The sequence below is a fragment of the Homo sapiens genome, chromosome 3 (genome assembly GCF_000001405.40).
Source record: "Homo sapiens chromosome 3, GRCh38.p14 Primary Assembly".
Taxonomy (NCBI): Eukaryota; Metazoa; Chordata; class Mammalia; order Primates; family Hominidae; genus Homo; species Homo sapiens.
This window is the reverse complement of record NC_000003.12, coordinates 57,746,780-57,766,157: the sequence shown is the minus strand read 5'-3', so window position 1 is coordinate 57,766,157 and position 19,378 is coordinate 57,746,780. Positions and strand designations below refer to the sequence as shown.

Sequence of the window (19,378 nt, the reverse complement as noted above, 5' to 3'; positions counted from 1 at the left end):
GTGTGGTGGTAGGCGCCTGTAGTCCCAGCTACTCAGGAGGCTGAGACAGGAGAATGGCGTGAACCCGGGAGGCGGAGCTTACAATGAGCCGAGATCGCGCCACTGTATTCCAGCCTGGGCAACAGAGCAAGACTCCGTCTCAAAAAAAAAAAAAAAAGAAAGAAAATCAGACAGAAGCCTAAAAGGGCAAAGAGTGAATTTAACCTAAGGAGTAATGTCAAAGAACTAAGTGGGAAAAAAAATGCTTTAAGTATATACACTGTCGATATTTTTAACAATTTGAAATCACAGATAAAATATTTTATCAATTTCCCACTATTATGAAAAATAATATAGAGGGAAATGAACATGTGCTTTAAAGATATAATCTGGCTTCCTATACATGTTCACATTATGTGTCTTAAATACAACTTGTCAAGTAAAAGACTTTCTCACAAACACCAGCACCCCTTAATGATCTTTATACTTCTGTCAACAAAAAACTTAAGTATCTGTTAAAACAAACATACAAACAAATAAAAAGTAAAAGAATGTATGACCTGCCATTCTCCCAAAAGCTGAGGCTAGGATCTTTGTGGTCATGTTTAGATGTGTGGAGGAAAAAAGAAGAAACAATCTTGGTTGTCAAATTCAGCAGGCTCTTCACAATGTCTTCCTTACAATGTCCTTGGAACATGCCGTATCATCCCTGCTTCTTCCTCCCACCCAAAACTCCTTTCCCTGACTGACCCTAACTACAATCTATCCCTTAACCCCATATTTTTTTTTAAGATGGGTCTCACTATGTCACCCAGGCTAGAGCAATCATAGTGCACTATAGCCTTGAACTCCTGGCCTAAGTGATCCTCCTGTTTCATCCTCCCAAATAGGTGGGGCTACAGACCTGATGCACCCCTGGCAAATACAAGTTTTTGAACTTTTTGTTTTTTAGAGACAAATTATTGCTATGATGCAAAGGCTGCAGTGCAGTGGATTTTCACAGGTGCAATTTTGGCATACTACAGCCTCAAACTCCTGGCCTCAAGCAATCTTCCAGACTCAGCCTCCCAAGTAGCTGATATTACAGGCATTTGCCACTGTTCCTGGCCATTCTTCCTCTTTTTAAAAGTCCTAAGGTCTAGTTTAAATTGGATTTCATCCATGAAACTGTTTCATCCATTAAACTTTCCCTAAAGTCTTCAGTTCACACAGGACCTTGCGCTTTGCCGAAGTCCTAATGTGCAAGTTAATTTAATACTCTTATCTTTTTTCATTTTCTGGCATTTAATCATTTTCATTCCTACTGTTAACCTGGTCTATGCCCTCACAAAATCACATCATATCTAAAGTGTTATAAAGCCTTTAGAATAGCACAGTGGTTATGAGCTTGAGTTTAAATCTCAATTCTACCATTTAATAGCTAGGTGAACTTGACCAAGATCTCTCTGTGCCTCAATTTCCTCACAGGTCAATGCAGAAAAAACAAGCACCTCAAAGAGTTACTTGAAGATTAAATAAGTTAACAAGTAAAGCATTTAGAATAGGGCCCAGTATATAGTTAGTACAAAAGTGTTATTTAAGCTGTTACCCATTTTTCCTTGCTCCAGGCAACTCTACATACTGCTATTGTATCACTATTGTATCACTCTTTCTTTCTTTTCTTTTCTTTTTTTTTTTGAGATGCAGTCTCCCTCTGTTGCCCATGTTGGAGTGCAAAGATGGGATCTCTGCTCACTGCAACCTCCGCTTCCTGGGTTCAAGTGATTATCCTGCCTCAGCCTCACAAGTAGCTGGGATTTCAGGTTCATGCCACCACACTTGGTTAATTTTTGTATTTTTCGTAGAGGTGGGGTTTCACCATGTTGGCCAGGCTGGTCTCAAACTCCTGACCTCAGGTGATCCACCCATCTCGGCCTCCCAAAGTGCTGGGATTACAGGTGTGAGCCACCGCACCCGGCCCACTCTTTCTTAAACAGGGGTTTGGTATGTCAGTGCTCTGCTCAGAACTCTCGTAGGCCTTCCATAACCCAAGGGTCCACATCCTAAGCTTGGTAAGCAAGGCACTTCACAACCTGGCACCACACTATCTAGTCAGCTTCATTTATTCAACAACTACTTTATACAAGATAGTAGGAAAACGTTCCTGTCTTCCAGAGTGTGAAAATTAATTACAAAGACAAGGCACAAACAAGAACATCACACAGAATAGATGTGCACCCTTGGCTACTCTTCAAAGAACTCTCTAATCCAACAAAGTCAGTTTCCTCAGCATTTGGAAAATGCAAAGCTCATTCAAAATTATCTGCTTTTTATTCCATCCTCATCCCCACAAAAAAAATAAAAATAACCAAAAAAACACCTTTTCTTATCTATCCACCCCTAATTTTAAAGTCAAATGTCATTATTCTTTTGCCATTGAAACTTACATAATATCACCTATCTCAACTATTTTCAAAGTGCACTGTCACCCTCTCTATCCAATGTAAAAGTTCCTAGAAAGAAGAAATAACAAATCCTCATCAGTTTGTCATTTTCTCCCCCTTTACCACTATGCCCTTCACTAAAACAAATCATGATAGAACAGGTGCTCAAAAAGATGCACTAGGCCGGGCGCGGTGGCTCACACCTGTAATCCTAACTCTTTAGGAGGCCGGGGCGGGTGGATTGCCTAAGCTCAGGAGTTCGAGACCAGCTTGTGCAACATGGTGAAACCCCGTTTCTACTAAAATAAAAAACAGTAGCTGGGCGTGGTAGTGTGTGCCTATAATCCCAGCTACTCAGGAAGCTGAGACAAGAGAATTGCTTGAACCCAGGAGGCAGAGGTTGCAGTGAGCCGAGATCACACCATTGCACTCCAGCCTGAGTGACAGAGCGAGACTCCATCTCAAAAAAAAAAAAAAAGATGCACTAAGTTTAAATTAAACGTGAGACTAGAAGTAGACAACTACTACCACTAGTAAGTAAACTTCAGTGAAACTGGAAATAGACTACTATGTCAACCACTAGCATGTCACCGGTACCCCAAAGCCTCAAATCAAATAGGGCCATCCAAATCACAAGAGTTCACTCACTATCCTTTCTATGTAACCACTATATGGGTAGATCTGCTTGCTCAGTGGTGCCTTGAATCAACAGAGGAATTAATAACCATTCTAGGCTGGGCACCGTGGCTCACACTTGTAATCCTAGCACTTTGGGAGGCCGAGGCAGGCAGATCACCTGAGGTCAGGAGTTCATGACCAGCGTGGCCAAATGGTGAAACCCTGTCTCTACTAAAAATACAAAAAATTAGCCAGGCATCTGGGCATGGTGGCTCATGCCTGTAATCCCAGCTACTTGGGAAGCTGAGGCAGAAGAATCACTTGAACCCAGGAGGGAGAGGTTGCAGTGAGCCGAGATTGCGCCACTGCACTCCAGCCTGGGAGACAGGGCAAGACTCCGGCTCAAAAAAAAAAAAAAAAAAAAAAACCATTCTACTATCTGCCATCTAATTTGAAGAGCTTGACTTCCGAAAAGGATGAAGGATAATACACAGGGCCAGCATCCAACAAGGCAATATCCAACTGCTACATTACTGAGAAGATGATTTGGTAAAGATTATGAAACTCTGCTTTGTGCCAAACCTGTCACCCTTCAACATGCAGATTTAAGTATTATACAATAAGATATTCCATGAGCTTAGCATTAAAAAGTGTCACTTAGATTTCCACCTGCCTACATTTTGCAGATATTCTAAAATGAACATGTATCATTTGAATAATCATAAAGTTTCAAGTGTTTATTATTTCTTCCAACTTTTTTTTTTTTTTTGAGACAGAGTCTCACATTGTCACCCAGGCTGGAGTGCAGTGGCGCGATCTCAGCTCACTGCAACCTCCGCCTCCCGGGTTCAAGCAATTCTCCTGCCTCAGCCTTCCCGAGTAGCTGGGATTGCAGGCACATGCCACCATGCCCAGCTAATTTTTTGTATTTTTCGTAGAGACAGGGTTTCACCGTGTTAGCCAGGATGATCTCGATCTCCTAACCTCGTGATCCGTCTGCCTCAGCCTCCCCAAGTGCTGGATTACAGGCATGAGCCACCAAGCCTGGCCTATTTCTTCCAACTTTTTTTTTTTTTTTTTTTTTGAGACGGAGTCTCGCTCTGTCGCCCAGGCCGGACTGCGGACTGCAGTGGCGCAATCTCGGCTCACTGCAAGCTCCGCTTCCCGGGTTCACGCCATTCTCCTGCCTCAGCCTCCCGAGTAGCTGGGACTACAGGCGCCCGCCACCGCGCCCGGCTAATTTTTTGTATTTTTAGTAGAGACGGGGTTTCACCTTGTTAGCCAGGATGGTCTCGATCTCCTGACCTCATGATCCACCCGCCTCGGCCTCCCAAAGTGCTGGGATTACAGGCGTGAGCCACCGCGCCCGGCCTTCTTCCAACTTTTAATGAGCCTCCCATAATGGACAATGCAGAATGCAACAGTCACCACAAAGTGAAAGTCACCCAAAGCACATATTACCCCAATTGTCGACCGCCCAGGTAAACTGCCAATTTAGACAAAGTTATCAACTACATCAGTTTCAATTTTAAAAATTTCTTCTGGCCAAGCACAGTGGCTCATGCCTGTAATCCTAGCACTTTGGGAGGCCGAGGCAAGTGGATCACCTGAGGTCAGGAGTTTGAGACCAGCCTGGCCAACATGGTGAAACCCTGTCTCCACTAAAAATACAAAAATTAGCCAGGCATGGTGATGAATGCCTGTAATCTCAGCTACTTGAGAAGCTGAGGTAGGAGAATCTCTTGAATCCAGAAGGTATAGGTTGCAGTGAGCTGAGATCGCACCACTGCACTCCAGCCTGGGTGACAGAGCCAGACTCCGTCTCAAAAAAACAAAAAACAAAAACAAAAACAAAATTTATTCTATATATGCCATCACATTAAAGAAAATAATTTCTCATCACCTTCCTAAGACTCCATAGCACTATAGCAAATTGCACAGTGTTGTCTAAATAGTTCCCTCTTCCCCACTAAACACCCTCTCTGCTGAGTATTGGGTGCTTAGTAAGAGCCAGGGACAGGGTGCTAAGTGATTTATATAATTACCTCAATTCTCAAAACAATAATAGGTACCATTATCATCCCCAGATGTTTAAAAAAAAAAAAAAACCTGGCCGGGCGCGGTGGCTCATGCCTGTAATCCCAGCACTTTGGGAGGCTGAGGTGGGTGGATCACCTGAGGTTGGGAGTTCAAGACCAGCCTGACCAACATGGAGAAACCCTGTCTCTACTAAAAACTCAAAATTAGCCACGCGTGGTGGCGCATGCCTGTAGTCCCAGCTACTCGGGAAGCTGAGGCAGGAGAATCACTTGAACCCAGGAGGGAGAGGATGTGGTGAGCCAAGATCGCGCCATTGCACTCCAGCCTGGGCAACAAGAACGAAACTCCTTCTCTGAAGGGATTCTTTTTTTTTTTTTAAGAGACAGGGTCTTGCTTTGATACCCAGGCTGGAGTGCAGTGGCATAATCACAGCACTGCAACCTCAAACTCCTGGGCTCAAGCAACCCTCGTGCCTCAGCATCCCGAGTAGGTGGGACTACAGACACTGCAAATTTCATACGAGAACTATTTGGTCGCACTGTGGGTTTTCTTTGGAACTGTATCCCTCACAGTGTCTGGCACATAATAGATGCTCAATTAAAACCTACTATCTGTCCAAACCAAAACTTTAAATAGTTAATTCCTAAAACAATTCAATGACATGGTAAGATCTGACAGAGCATCCGCTATAACTAGATTAAGTGGTATAATAATCAATAATTACATCTATATCTAAAGTAGTGGTCTCATAGCCTGCGTGTTATTTTAGCTAATAAAGCAGGAGGAAAAAAGTGAAAATGGTAGAAATAAGCCATATCTACCATTCAAAGATAAGTTTTTCTGAAGAACTAATTTCATGGCCGGGTGTGGTGGCTTATGCCTGTAATTCCAGCACTTTGGGAGGCCGAGGAGGGTGGATCACTTGAGGTCAGGCGTTCAAGACCACCCTGGCCAACATGGTGAAACCCAGTATCTACGAAGAATATAAAAATTAGCTGGGCATGGTGGCATGCGCCTGTGATCCCAGCTACTCAGGAGGCTAAGACACAAGAATCGCTTGAACCCAGGAGGCAGACGTTGCAGTGAGCTGAGGTTGCGCCACTGCACTCTAGCCTGGCCACAGAGCGAGACTCCATCTCAAAGAAAAAAAACAAATATTAACATGTCATCTCAATTCATGAAACAGTCACTACTGACCTATTCTTAGTTATCTCAAAATAACCTATTGTGAGAGTTTTAGTACAGCCATGGAAAGCACTGGGCATGAAATCAGTATTTTTCAAATAAGTAAAACAAAAAATGGGAGTCCCCTTCGAGTGTTTCATCAAAGAAAGTGCATTCGCAGAGTATGTACTGTGAGCCAACCTGTTGTCTGATTAGTTTAGACCTGTTGCCCAAGAACATAAAATGGTGAAAATGTAAAAGCTGGTTGAGTTAAGGCACTACTTAGTAGTAAACTGATGTTTGAATTCAACTGCTGGAAAAATGAGTTCTATGAATATTCATTTTAAAGAATTATGAGGGCCAGGTGCAGTGGCTCACGCCTGTAATCCCAGCACTTTGGGAGGTTGAGGCAGGTGGATCAACTGAGGTCAGGAGTTCAAGACCGCCTGGCCAACATGGTGAAACCCTGTCTCTACTAAAAATACAAAATTAACCAGGCATGGTGGCGTGTGCCTGTAATACCAGCTACTTTGGAGGCTGAGGCAGGAGAATCACTTGAACCCGGGAGGCAGAGGTTGCAGTGATCTGAGATAGCGCCACTGCACTCCAGCCTGGGTGACAGGAGCAAAAATCTGTCTCAAAAAAAAAAAAAAAGGATTACGAGTAATCTATGAAGTATTTTAGGCACCCTAACTTCAGCTTGCGAGGAGCGAGTGAAGGGTCTGTTCCACAGGTAAATGAGGATCTGGTGTTAAACAGAAAAGTTAACATACTCTTCAGTTCTCATCCTACACGTAAAGTATAGATATTATGCAGCACACAGCACTTGGACAATCTTTTCCTCCTTTCTTTAAAAAATAATTTACAAAATAATTCCTTAAATCAGTAGCTGCCGAAGTATCATTTTTTTCTCTTCCTTTTGAGGCTCAGGTTTCTTTCATTTCAAAACATATTCTTGAAGACTTAAGTTCTTCCTTTAAGAAAGATTTAATTATTTAACTCAGAAAGAGGGGCAAAAAGTCAGGAGGTGAAACCTGAGACAGTCCTATTAGTCTTACATAACTTAAAGTTGGAACTGATTCAGTAGCTCAGCTAAAAACCTGAGGTTTAGGCACAAAGATGAGCTCTTTAGTATACTCTCCACAAACATAAATAAACAGTTTTTAAAAATGGAAAGGATCTTAATTTCTTTCTTCACTTCTTAAAATAAAAGCACATACATGTATAGTAACTTACGATACTAACATAAAAATACTAAATTGGTTACGCTTAAAATGAAAAGCACTGAATTCATCGTATCACATTTAAGTAATGCTATAATTGACAGAATAGGGTATAATTTCAGAAAGTAAGTTTATTTCCTAACACTAACTTTTGAATAGCACCTCTGTAAGTATGCATTAAGTACTTAATAAGTGCTGCAGGGAACATCAAAAAGTGATTTTCAAACGCAATATGTGTATGTTCTCCAACTTGTAAAAAAAACTCTGAAAATATATAAAGTTACAGTTGTTCATGCTTAATTAAATTAGCTTTGATTATTGCAAATTACTCCTCCAAGGGCAAGTATGTATCAAACCTTTCAAAAATCTTAGGTTTATATCAGCAATTATCCTTACTAGAAAGGTCCTGATCTGAACTCACCTAAAGCTATGTGTTAACTACATTTCACCACTAAGACACTTGAGCCCCGGGATAATAATGGCCACGGATTCCCCGAATTGCTTCGAGAACTGCTGCTTGCTTAATAAAGCGCTGAACTGTGAATTCACCTTTCTAAACAGACTAAAAGCAAGACGCCAAGTTTCACTATCTAGTTTGGGATTTCACTGGGAATGACCACGTTATCAAGATGCCATAGCCCTCCTGAGGCTTTTAATTACAATACCTTCTCTGTTTTCCATTCAACCACCTCAATCAAATTTCCACTAGAACCAGGCACACAAACAGTTGATTCGTGGCTTTGCGCAAAGCCTCCTCTGGATGCAAACCCTGGGATCCTGCATACATTAGTCCTCTCAGGGAGGGCAAAAGGGGAAAAAAAGTTTGTTAAACAATGCCGCTGGACAATGTGGTGACATTACCTTGCCCGTCTTGTGATCAAACCAGACGAGAGCGTGGTTCCTTGATAGCACTTTGCAATCAAAAGTGGCATTATTCTGCGCTGGTCGACAGCGGGCCACTGAGCGGCCGATTTTGATGGGCTCGTCCAGGTAGACATGACGCTCCTGAAACGGGTGCGAGTTCGGGCGGCAAGTGAAGATGGCCAAGGCTGACGGCATCGAGGATAGACTGGGGGTGTCTCTCCTACCAGGGACAAAGAGGAGTTCCTCCGGATCCGGACTGCCCTTCACAAGCCTATGCCCCTATCCCACCCAAAATTTTAAATTAACACAAACTGCACATTGTCTAAGCATAACCAGTGAACATCAACTCTTCACTTGGGTGGGAAGACAAGCCAGCGCAAGCCCCATCACCTCCTTTAAAACGCTGCAACGCCGTGATCACAAAAAGTCCCCAACTGGCAGCTTTCAGTCCATCTTCTTCTCTGGGAAGAAAAGGCTCAAACATCGGGCAGCTTCGGCCAAGAAAACTCCTGGAACACAGTTTGGGGACTGGAGGTATCCAAGCAGATGAGTCACACGCCAATTCTTGTGTTTGGTTTGAGATCGCGGCCGCTTTTCCCCCTTGGTGGCGGAAACGTTGCAGCACTGCAGCATGAATGAAGGGTCGGTTCGGCGCGGCCAGGAAAGTCCTTTTGGGCCGAAGGAAGGTGTGGCTGGGCACCTCTGGGCAGCCACCGCCAGTCCTCGCCCGGAGTGAAGGGGCGAGAGGTGACGGAGACGGAGGGGCTCTAGACGGCCGGCGGGACAGTCTGCATCGCCCCTGCTGAGCGGAGGCCGCCCCGGGAAGGGGGACGCGGTCCCCGGCCTGGCACGATCCGAGACGGCGGTGGCTGAGGTTCTCCGCGCGAGGCGTGGAGGCCGGCGGGGCGCGGGCAGTGGCCAAGTCGGGACTCCTGGGCACCTGGCGAGCGTCCCCGCGACCAGGGCGGGGACCCGGCTCCGCAGGCCGGTGCGGACCGAGCGAGGCGCGACACCGGGAGGCTCGAGTTCCCAGGCGGCAGGAAGTTGGTCCCCGGACGCCTAGGCTTCTGGGCCGCCGCTCAGCACATGGGCCGCCTCCCCTCAGGGTCGCCCCCGCGAGGGTCGCATCTCAGGGACGGCAGCCGCAGCTCCCGGCGGACGAGAAGGTGGGGGAGGGAGACTGGCCCGGAGGTTGGGGAGAGGCCTTGAGGCCCCGGGCTGGATCCGCCGCAGCCTCCACCGATCGCGGCCGATGGGGCAAGCTCAAGCTGCGCCCGACGAGGCAGGAAACTTTCCGACCTGGTGGGGAAAACATCAAAACAAACGGCCGTCAGGCGCCTCAGCCCGCCCGCCTCAGCCGTCGCCCCCTCCAGCCAGACCCCCGCCAGCCCACACCGCTAGGCACGACCTCCGCCGACCTCTCCGCAAGCAGGCTACGAGGATTTGGAGCCAGGACGCCACGACGGGTCCTACCTCCCTAGCCGCCACCACCGCCTCAGCTTACCTTGCCAGCGCCGGCCGCCATAGTGACTCTGACTGAAACCTACCCGGTGCACCGCCACGGGAACGCGCACCCTTCAAGGGCCCTCCTACCCCCTCTCCCGCGCCGTAGTCCAGGAATGTCACGTGAACGACGCCACGGAAGCCGTGTTGGTAGAGGGCAGAAAAAAGGGCAAGGTAATTTTTAACGGGCCTCCAGGCGCCATCTTAGTTAAGGGCTGGAAGCTTCAAACCTCGGGACAACCTTAACGACCATTTTGGTTAAGGGCAAGAACAATTTGCGCCGTAGAAGGTTTTTCAAACAAACAGTGCCACCTTCTTATTTTATCTACTTAGCAAGGGGGTGCCAACTTTTACTAAATTTTATTCTGTTTAATTCTCGATGAAAATACTAGCGAGCAAAAGAACAGACCCAGCCAAAGGAGATGGTCATTAGCAGCCATCTTAGCTGTGGGCAACACAGTCACCCGCAGCTACCTTAAGTGTGAGCCGCCAAACTCCCTGAAGTCTTAGGATTTGTGCACCTAACAGAAGGACCATTCTCCCCTCTGCTAAATTCGTTATGTTTTCTTCCCGGAAAAAAAAAATCTTAGTTCCCGCATTCCATTTCGAATGACAGTCTTTCTCACTGAACCTATTATGTGCCCCCAGGGCTCCTGCGCGGATTCTTCCACAGAAGGAGCGTCCAGAAAGTTTAAAATCATGTTTCTTCCAAAGAGAGATTGAATAATTTCCAAAGTGAAAAAAGAGGGTATTTCCCCCACTTACAATATCAAGATGAGGAGTCATTGGTCTAAAGAAGGAAGACTTTGCAAGGGCTAAATGAAAACTTTAAGAAAAAATAGTGAGAAGGAGACTTACTCATTTAGAATCAAAGGTGACTTCATTCTTCAGATTCCTGCAATAACAGGCTCCACCACTGTGTGACCTTAAGCAAGTTTCTAAACTTTTTCAAGCCTCTTTTTTCTCATGGATGACATGTTAATAATAGTTAATTCACTTGATGTGGTGAGACTTCAAAATGTTAATCCATGTTGTTCAATAAAGAGTAGCAATTAGGCCGGGCGCGGTGGCTCACGCCTGTAATCCCAGCACTTTGGGGGGGCCGAGGCAGGCGGATCACCTGAGGTCGGGAGTTTGAGACCAGCCTGACCAACATGGAGAAACCCCGTCTCTACTAAAAATACATAATTAGCCGGGCGTGGTGGCGCATGCCTGTAATCCCAGCTACTTGGGAGGCTGAGGCAGGAGAATCACTTGAACCCGGGAGGCGGAGGTTGCGGTGAGCCAAGATCGCGCCATTGCAGTCCAGCCTGGGCAACAAGAGTGAAACTGTCTCTCCAAAAAAAAAAAAAAAAAGAAAGAAAGAAAGAAAAAGTAGCAGTTATTCATCTCAATACTTATATAGACAGTTTGGCCGTGTCCTAGGTTTTTGCTGGGCCCTGGGGACACATAACTGAACCAAACTTCAATTCCTGCCTTCTGAGATCATAACGGTATTGTGGGTTAGAAATGAGGGTAGGGAGTGACAAACATGAAATTGATGTAATCAGGGCTAAGATAGAGGCAGGCACTAGCTGCCCAAGGGGTCAGGGATGGTCTGGGAGAAGTAACTGAACTGAATGAAGGAAGATAGGAAAACCACAATAAATATGGTATTCGCTGAATGGTTTCATGAATTTCCACAAACACGGATAGCAAGGAAAAGAAGGAGCCTACTTGAAACAGTGCACCAATGTGCCGGCACATAATAGTGGATAAATAAGTATTTGATGCATGAATGAAAATTACATACTGTTACTCATTATTAGAGGATAAAGTAGGCGGGACACAAAGTGAGTCTGGAAAGAATAGGCATTATATAATAAAGACGTTATATTCGTTTTTCAAGCTCTTCATCAATTCAACAAATATGTGTCAAGCTACCACTGTGTTCCAGGTATGCTATTCAAAATGAGGATATGTTGGAAAGCTTTCTTATGAGAGGATGAAAAGTTTTCACTTCTGATAACTTTTAGGCTGTTAAGGAATAAAATAAGATAGGACCCTCCACAGATCCCTAATGAGTTTTTTTTGCACGAATAGCAAGTCATTTATGCATTCTTTCATACATTCATTCTATAAACATTTAATTGATACTGTGAAATAGATATTTTGAAAGGTCCTGGAAATACAATAATGAAGAAACAAAAAGACTCCCTCAAGTTGCTCGATTTAGGTGATGACACAGAAAGATCCTTGCTGTAATGGAGTATGTCAAGAGTAGTGGAAACATGGCAGAGTAGTTTAAACTGAAACTTGAAAGGATTAGAACAGCTAGTCTGATGCTATTGGGATAAAGAAATTTTAAGCTAAGAAGCAATCCCAACAAAAGTCCAGAGACTTGAGAGAACAGGACTTTAAGGGAATTGCAAGTAGGTTCGTATCACCAGAGCATAAGAGATAAGGGAAAACGAGGAGAAAGAGTGACAGAAGTGAGGTTTCAGTTGCTGAAGGACTTCTAGGCAATGCACCAGACTTCAGAACATTTCCATCTTCCTCCTAGAAGATCAAAGAGAAGTAATGAAAGTCAAGGTGCTGGAATCAGACATGGCATACTTTTACCAGCACCATAAATGGTAAATTATTTAGCTTCCCTAAATTTCAGCTTCCTTATCTGAAAAAAAAAAAAGCATATATCTACTGCACTTGACTAGTCTTTTTTTTAAAAAAAAAAAAAAGGGGTTGGGAAGGGGGAAGGAAAAAGGTAGATAATACCTTACAGAGTCTTCTTAGGATTAAATAAAACAATGGAATACAAAATGCCAACCATGGTGGCTGGGAAATAGTAGACACTCACAGAATGTTAATATTTATCATTATTGCTCATAGAAAGAATTCCCCCAGCCTTCCACATATAGTAAGGAGCAAGTTGTTTTATCTCTAGTTTGTATATAGAGAAACTTAATCATACATATGGAAACAAAAAAAGTCTGTTTATATTCAGTTCTACTATAATATCTCTTAAAATTAATGTTAAGCAGAGTGGACTTTCTTCTACAAGAAAAGCTGGGACTACTATAACATGTCAGGATAAAGAATCCTATCAAGCTACACAGGGTGCTAGAAATGCCAAAATGGCATTGAAGGCATTCTTCACCCACTGGTATTCAGCAGGCACAGAAAAGGCTTAAATTAAGAAATCTCATACATGAGATACTTTGAATTCTAAGTCATGTGGGTGTTCCTCTCTGTGATTCTGTATCCACACAAAATTTTTATTAAATAAAAAACATGTCATATTTTGAGAAATTGGGAATGGCAATGTTTCCTGATTTTGTAGTTCTCTCCCTTTTTAAGTTTCTGCCTTTTTATAGTCTGATGAGTATTGCCACTGCTATGATCCAAGCCACTTTTCAATCTTATAAAAGCAAAGACAGACTTGTAAAATTATCATCCTAGTACCATCAAAGATGGGCAATTATTAGCATTTCTGATGTGTAGGAGACAACTCTGTAAACTCTACTAATAAGCAGCCCTTTCTAATTAATAATGATCTAATTGGACTTTGACCAATGACATACACTTGGTATATAATAAATTATGGAACACTTGCATAACTGTTTCAGCAGAGTACCTGGATTGCAAATATAGGTAAGCAAACCAATTAAGAGAAAGCTGGGAGTACTCAAAGCCCAAAATTGAGAGTATATAACATTTTTAGTGGCACACACTGGCTTATTACAACTGAAGTTAGGTCCTCTTCCCACTAAGGAAAGCTCTCTTCATCAGGGAGATTCTAATGAGTGGAAATACCCTGTCATTTCCCAGGTGCCCAGGGTGGAGTAGCCCAGACATTCCAGAGGCACTGCTCATATGTTTGTGGCTTCCTGGTTATTCAGGAAATAAAAGAAAAGTAACTACCTGAAGACAAATGAAGACATTAAGTTCATTTAGCAACCTTTTTCTGTGAATATAAAAGGAGGGAATCACAATATTATAACTCCAGAAAGAATCATAGACAACAAATCCAGCTTCCACATTTTACAGGCAAGGAAATTGAGGCTCAGAGAAGGAACTTTAATGATTGTGTATTTACCATGTGGTTAGCATTTTCCTCATGACATCTCTGTGTATTAAGTATTAACCTTATTTTATAGGTAAGTAAGGAAACTAAGGCTCAGGCTCAAACATTAAGAAAAACATTAAGAATCTTAATATTCGATTGAGTGACTGAAAATAAGTCACCATGCTAGATCCAAAGTACATGCTGGGGTTTTTTCTTTCTAAAAATTATCTTTATTTTTATTTATTTATTTTTTGACAATATCTTGCTCTGTCACCTAGGCTGGAGTGCAATGGCACAATCACGGCTCACTGTAGCCTCAACCTCCCCAGCCCAACCAATCTTTCCACCTCAGCCTCCTTAGTAGGCATGTGCCACAGGCATGTGCCACCGCCATACCCAGCTAATTTATTTTTGTTTATTAATTTTTTCTTTTCTGTATACCTCGGATCCCCTGTGTTGCTTAGGCTGGTCTCAAACCCATGGGCTCAAGTGATCCTCCTGTCCGGCCTCCCATAGTGCTGGGATTATAGGCATGAGCCACCATGCCGGCCCCGACTGATTTTTTTGATTGATAAAAGAAACACATGCTCATTGCATATATTCAGGTAAGCAAAAATGAGGAAAGTAAAAGTCCTCTCTAGCCCCATCACAAATACTTAGTCTAATGCTACTGTTAACAATTTGTTAGCTGTATTCTTCCAGATGCTATTCTAAGCCACATGAAGCATGCCCTTTTAAAAATACCACATTTATTAGAAGTGGGAAGGTCAACACTAAGGGCCTTATTCTTAAAAGTGATAAATAATTTATATCAATAGCAAAAGGCCTGTATTGGGGCACGGGGACGAGGAAGGGAAGAAATTATGCTATTTTTTGTCACTCTTGTATAAGTCCCCTTTTGATTACTGGAAGTATCTGCTTGTTTTTTATAACTAATTTGAGAATGTTACTTGGAATGTAGCAAATGCTTAAGAGTAAAAGGGCTGGGTCAGAAAACCCCATGAGGCATTTTCTTTCTGAATTTTTATTGGTATATCTGGATTTGTTTCCAAATAACTTAGTTACCAAGTAAAATATCAGAGACTCTATATACGATGGCTTTGCTCATCAAATGATTTGTAACATATGTATATATAATAATTCCCTGCAAGTGTGGCACATAAAAATATATTTTAAGTACATACTTTATTCTAAGAAAACTATGATATTTTGGCCTGGCATGGTGGCTCACACCTGTAATCCCAGCACTTTGGAAGGCCAAGGCAGGAGGATCACCTGAGGTCAGGAGTTCAAAACCAGACTGGCCAACATGGTGAAGTCCTGTCTCTACTAAAAATACAAAAATTAGCCGGGTGTGGTAGCACACGTCTGTAATTCCAGCTACTTGGGAGGCTGAGGCAGGAGAATCACTTGAACCTGGGAGGTGGTAGCTGCAGTGAGCCGAGATCTCGCCATTACACACTCCAGCCTGGGTGAAACAGCAGGACTCTGTCTCAAAAAAAAAGAGAGAGAGAGAGAAAGAAAACTATGATATTTTGAATAATTGTTTTTGAATGTAGTTATTTGTGTTTCCTTTTAATAAACTTTATTTGGGCTTTTGTTTCAGAAAAATGCCTTGTTGCTACTGTATAATGTCATACATCAGCATCTCACTAAATGCCTATGTTTTAGAAAACTAATAAATATCTCAGGGATCTTTGGTCTTAAGGATTTCTCAGAAGATAGGTTGAAATGGATTGAAGAGACCTATACAAGGAAGTGACTCTGGAGTGCCTGCTCCTCCTGCACCCCCACTCCCTCAAAGCGTGTCAAGCATACAAGGCTGGGAGGAGGAGGTCTCATCTGTGTTTTTTGTTTTTTTTTTTTTGAGACAGAGTCTCGCTCTGTTGCCGAGGCAGTAGTGCAATGTGTCAGTCTCGGCTCACTGCAACCTTTGCTTCCGGGGTTCAAGCAATTCTCCTACTTCAGCCTTCTGACTGAGTAGCTGGAATTATACGCACTCGCCACCACACCCAGCTAATTTTTTTTTTTTTTTTTTTCAAGTAGAGAAGGGGTTTCACCATGTTGGCTAGGCTGGTCTCATACTCCTGACCTCAAGTGATCTGCCCGCTTCTGCCTCCCGAATGGTGGAATTACAGGCATGAGCCACTGCACCTGGCCAATCATCTGTAGATTCTTCACTGGGTTTTGTACAGAGCCGGTTTCATAGCGTATGACCTTTACGTAGGGCCCCGCTTGGAAGGACTATATCTAGTTGTACTCTGCTGTCTTGAAATTCTCGGTAACTTTTGAACAGATTTCTCATTTTCATTTGCACTGGACCCCTCAAATTATATAGCTGTTGCCAAGCGTGGTGGCTCATGCCTGTAATCCCAACCCTTTGGAAGGCCAAGGCTTTTGGATCACCTGGAGTCAGGAGTTCAAGACCAGCCTGGCCAACACGATTAAATCCCGTCCCTACTAAAAATGCAAAATTAGTATGGTGTGGTCGATCACACCTGTAATTCCAGCTACTCAGGAGGCTGGGGCAGTGAGCCAAGATCGTGCCCTTGCACTCCAGCCCAGGCTACAAAAGCGAAACTGAATAAAAACGAAAAAATTATATAGCTGTTCCTGCTTTGAACATATGGCTCAGGAACCCAGTCTCCTCTGTGCAAATCTAGCATGTTAACGAGCATGACACGTGAAATGCTGTAGAAGAAATTGGTGGGCTATTGACACTGAAAACGCTTCTCTAGAGAAATGAGATGCTTTAAGTGCAACCAGACAGGTCCGTCTCCCCATTTTCTGGTTATATGATAACTCAGGATCAGTGGCAAAGATGGTGGCAGAAGAAAACTTGATTTTGTAACTTCTCACTCTAGCTTAGACTCTGAAGTTAGTCTTGAAGACGATAATGAGAATAATATTGAATCAAGGTAGAACCTGTATCCACTAAAATTGTTCATTTTTCATATTTTCCTAAACTTTTTGTTATAAAAAATTTCAAATGTACAGAAATATTGAAATTACAGTGAACACACACAGAGCTCCTTGATTCTAAGTCGTTACCATTTTGTCATATTTGCCTTACCTGTGTGTTTTCTGAACTTTTTGACAGTAAATTGCAGAAATAGATCAACATGCCTTTACTACTAGAAACATTTTCCTAAGTAACCAAAATATGTGGAGTTTTGATGAGTTTTTTTGAGACAGGGTCTTGCTCTGTCACCCAGGCTGGAGTGCAGTGGCGAGATCATGGCTCACTGGAGCCTTGACCTCCTGGGCTCAAGGGATCCTCCCATCTCAGCCTCCCGAGTAGCTGGGACTACAGGCATGCACCACCACACCCGGCTAATTAAAAAAAAAAATTTTGTGTGTGTGGAAACAGGGTCTTGCCATATTGCCCAGGCTGGTCTCAAACTCCTGGGCTCAAGTGATTCTCTGGCCTTGGCCTCCCAAAGTGCTGGGATTACAGGTGTGAGTCACCGTACCCCACTTGATTATGCTTTTGTTTTGTTTTGTTTTGTTTTTTGTTTTTGTTTTTTTTAAATTTATTTTTTTATTGATAATTCTTGGGTGTTTCTCACAGAGGGGGATTTGGCAGGGTCATGGGACAATAGTGGAGGGAAGGTCAGCAGATAAACAAGTGAACAAAGGTCTCTGGTTTTCCTAGGCAGAGGACCCTGCGGCCTTCCGCAGTGTTTGTGTCCCTGATTACTTGAGATTAGGGATTGGTGATGACTCTTAACGAGCATGCTGCCTTCAAGCATCTGTTTAACAAAGCACATCTTGCACCGCCCTTAATCCATTTAACCCTGAGTGGACACAGCACATGTTTCAGAGAGCACAGGGTTGGGGGTAAGGTCACAGATCAACAGGATCCCAAGGCAGAGGAATTTTTCTTAGTGCAGAACAAAATGAAAAGTCTCCCATGTCTATTTCTTTCTACCCAGACACGGCAACCATCCGATTTCTCAATCTTTTCCCCACCTTTCCCGCCTTTCTATTCCGCAAAGCCGCCCTTGTCATCCTGGCCCGTTCTCAATGAGCTGTTGGGCACACCTCCCAGACGGGGCGGTGGCCGGGCAGAGGGGCTCCTCACTTCCCAGTAGGGGCGGCCGAGCAGAGGCGCCCCTCACCTCCCGGACGGGGCGGCTGGCCGGGCAGGGGGGCCGACCCCCCCCACCTCCCTCCCGGACGGGGCGGCTGGCCGGGCGGGGGGCCGACCCCCCCACCTCCCTCCCAGACGGGGCGGCTGGCCGGGCAGAGGGGCTCCTCACTTCCCAGTAGGGGCGGCCGGGCAGAGGCGCCCCTCACCTCCCAGACGGGGCGGCTGGCCGGGCGGAGGGCTGACCCCCCCCCACCTCCCTCCCGGACAGGGCGGCTGGCCGGGCGGGGGGCTGACCCCCCCACCTCCCTCCCGGACGGGGCGGCTGGCCAGGTGGGGGGCTGACCCCCTACCTCCCTCCCGGACGGGGCGGCTGGCCAGGTGGGGGGGGCTGACCCCCCCATCTCCCTCCCGGACGGGGTGGCTGGCCGGGCTGAGGGGCTCCTCACTTCCCAGTAGGGGCGGCCGGGCAGAGGCGCCCCTCACCTCCCGGACGGGGCGGCTGGCCAGGCGGGGGGCTGACCCCCCCACCTCCCTCCCGGACGGCACGGCTGGCCAGGCGGGGGGCTGACCCCCCCACCTCCCTCCCGGATGGCACGGCTGGCCGGGCGGGGTGGCTGACCCCCCACCTCCCTCCCGGATGGGGCGGCTGGCCGGGCGGGGGGCTGACCCCCCCCCACCTCCCTCCCGGACGGGGTGGCTGCCGGGCGGAGACGCTCCTCACTTCCCAGATGGGATGGCTGCCGGGCGGAGAGGCTCCTCACTTCTCAGACGGGGCAGCTGCCGGGCGGAGGGGCTCCTCACTTCTCAGACGGGGTGGTTGCCAGGCAGAGGGTCTCCTCACTTCTCAGACGGGGCGGCCGGGCAGAGACGCTCCTCACCTCCCAGACGGGGTCTCGGCCGGGCAGAGGCGCTCCTCACATCCCAGATGGGGCGGCGGGGCAGAGGCGCTCCCCACATCTCAGACGATGGGCGGCCGGGCAGAGACGCTCCTCACTTCCTAGATGTGATCGCGGCTGGGAAGAGGCGCTCCTCACCTCCTAGATGGGATGGCGGCCGGGCGGAGACGCTCCTCACTTTCCAGACTGGGCAGCCAGGCAGAGGGGCTCCTCACATCCCAGACGATGGGCGGCCAGGCAGAGACACTCCTCACTTCCCAGACGGGGTGGCAGCCGGGCAGAGGCTGCAATCTCGGCACTTTGGGAGGCCAAGACAGGCGGCTGCTCCTTGCCCTCGGGCCCCGCGGGGCCCGTCCGCTCCTCCAGCCGCTGCCTCCCGGGCGGCGCTCGCCGGCGCGGCGGCAAAGCTTGATTATGCTTTTATGGAGATTTTTTTTCCTGAGGATAGATTCATACTACACTGTCTGAATGTCTTTTGGAGACATCAAAGTGTTGTTCCATATGTGTGAGTTCCTAGAAGTCAGGAACAG

The 19,378-nt window shown here is 45.7% G+C and overlaps 1 protein-coding gene across 48 annotated transcripts in view, besides 7 other annotated features; it reads right to left on the bottom strand.

Annotated features, from left to right (window-relative positions):
- Positions 1 to 9,849, bottom strand: part of SLMAP (sarcolemma associated protein) — a 173,705-nt gene extending 163,856 nt beyond the window's left edge. For 46 of the 48 annotated variants that reach the window (NR_165328.1, XM_005265456.5, XM_005265468.5 and 43 more), the window contains exons 1-2: positions 9,816 to 9,849; positions 8,309 to 9,610 (exon numbers count right to left, since the gene is read on the bottom strand). Coding sequence is in view for 46 of the 48 variants with exons in the window: in XM_005265456.5 (XP_005265513.1) it covers positions 8,309 to 8,506 (198 nt within the window). In the remaining 2 variants the exon portion in view is untranslated. Of the gene's footprint in view, positions 1 to 8,308; positions 9,611 to 9,815 lie in introns of those variants that run through there. The other 2 variants (XM_047448894.1, NM_001304421.2) reach the window with 1 other exon arrangement.
- Positions 8,939 to 9,840: an enhancer, noted in NCBI's record as "NANOG-H3K27ac-H3K4me1 hESC enhancer chr3:57742045-57742946 (GRCh37/hg19 assembly coordinates)". NCBI's record gives its function as "activates a minimal SCP1, AML or CMV promoter by ChIP-STARR-seq in primed H9 embryonic stem cells {active_cell/tissue: H9 hESC(primed)}" and the evidence as "EXISTENCE:reporter gene assay evidence [ECO:0000049][PMID:30033119]".
- Positions 8,939 to 10,743: a biological region, named in NCBI's record as "NANOG-H3K27ac-H3K4me1 hESC enhancers GRCh37_chr3:57741142-57742044 and GRCh37_chr3:57742045-57742946".
- Positions 9,112 to 9,391: a silencer, noted in NCBI's record as "silent region_14484". NCBI's record gives its function as "represses an Ori minimal core promoter by ATAC-STARR-seq in GM12878 lymphoblastoid cells {active_cell/tissue: GM12878}" and the evidence as "EXISTENCE:reporter gene assay evidence [ECO:0000049][PMID:35858748]".
- Positions 9,762 to 9,941: an enhancer, noted in NCBI's record as "active region_19996". NCBI's record gives its function as "activates an Ori minimal core promoter by ATAC-STARR-seq in GM12878 lymphoblastoid cells {active_cell/tissue: GM12878}" and the evidence as "EXISTENCE:reporter gene assay evidence [ECO:0000049][PMID:35858748]".
- Positions 9,841 to 10,743: an enhancer, noted in NCBI's record as "NANOG-H3K27ac-H3K4me1 hESC enhancer chr3:57741142-57742044 (GRCh37/hg19 assembly coordinates)". NCBI's record gives its function as "activates a minimal SCP1, AML or CMV promoter by ChIP-STARR-seq in primed H9 embryonic stem cells {active_cell/tissue: H9 hESC(primed)}" and the evidence as "EXISTENCE:reporter gene assay evidence [ECO:0000049][PMID:30033119]".
- Positions 9,972 to 10,251: an enhancer, noted in NCBI's record as "active region_19995". NCBI's record gives its function as "activates an Ori minimal core promoter by ATAC-STARR-seq in GM12878 lymphoblastoid cells {active_cell/tissue: GM12878}" and the evidence as "EXISTENCE:reporter gene assay evidence [ECO:0000049][PMID:35858748]".
- Positions 13,375 to 14,574: an enhancer, noted in NCBI's record as "P300/CBP strongly-dependent group 1 enhancer chr3:57737311-57738510 (GRCh37/hg19 assembly coordinates)". NCBI's record gives its function as "activates an origin of replication core promoter dependent on BRD2, BRD4, P300/CBP, MED14 and CDK7 cofactors, with strong dependence on P300/CBP, by STARR-seq in HCT116 cells {active_cell/tissue: HCT116}" and the evidence as "EXISTENCE:reporter gene assay evidence [ECO:0000049][PMID:35650434]".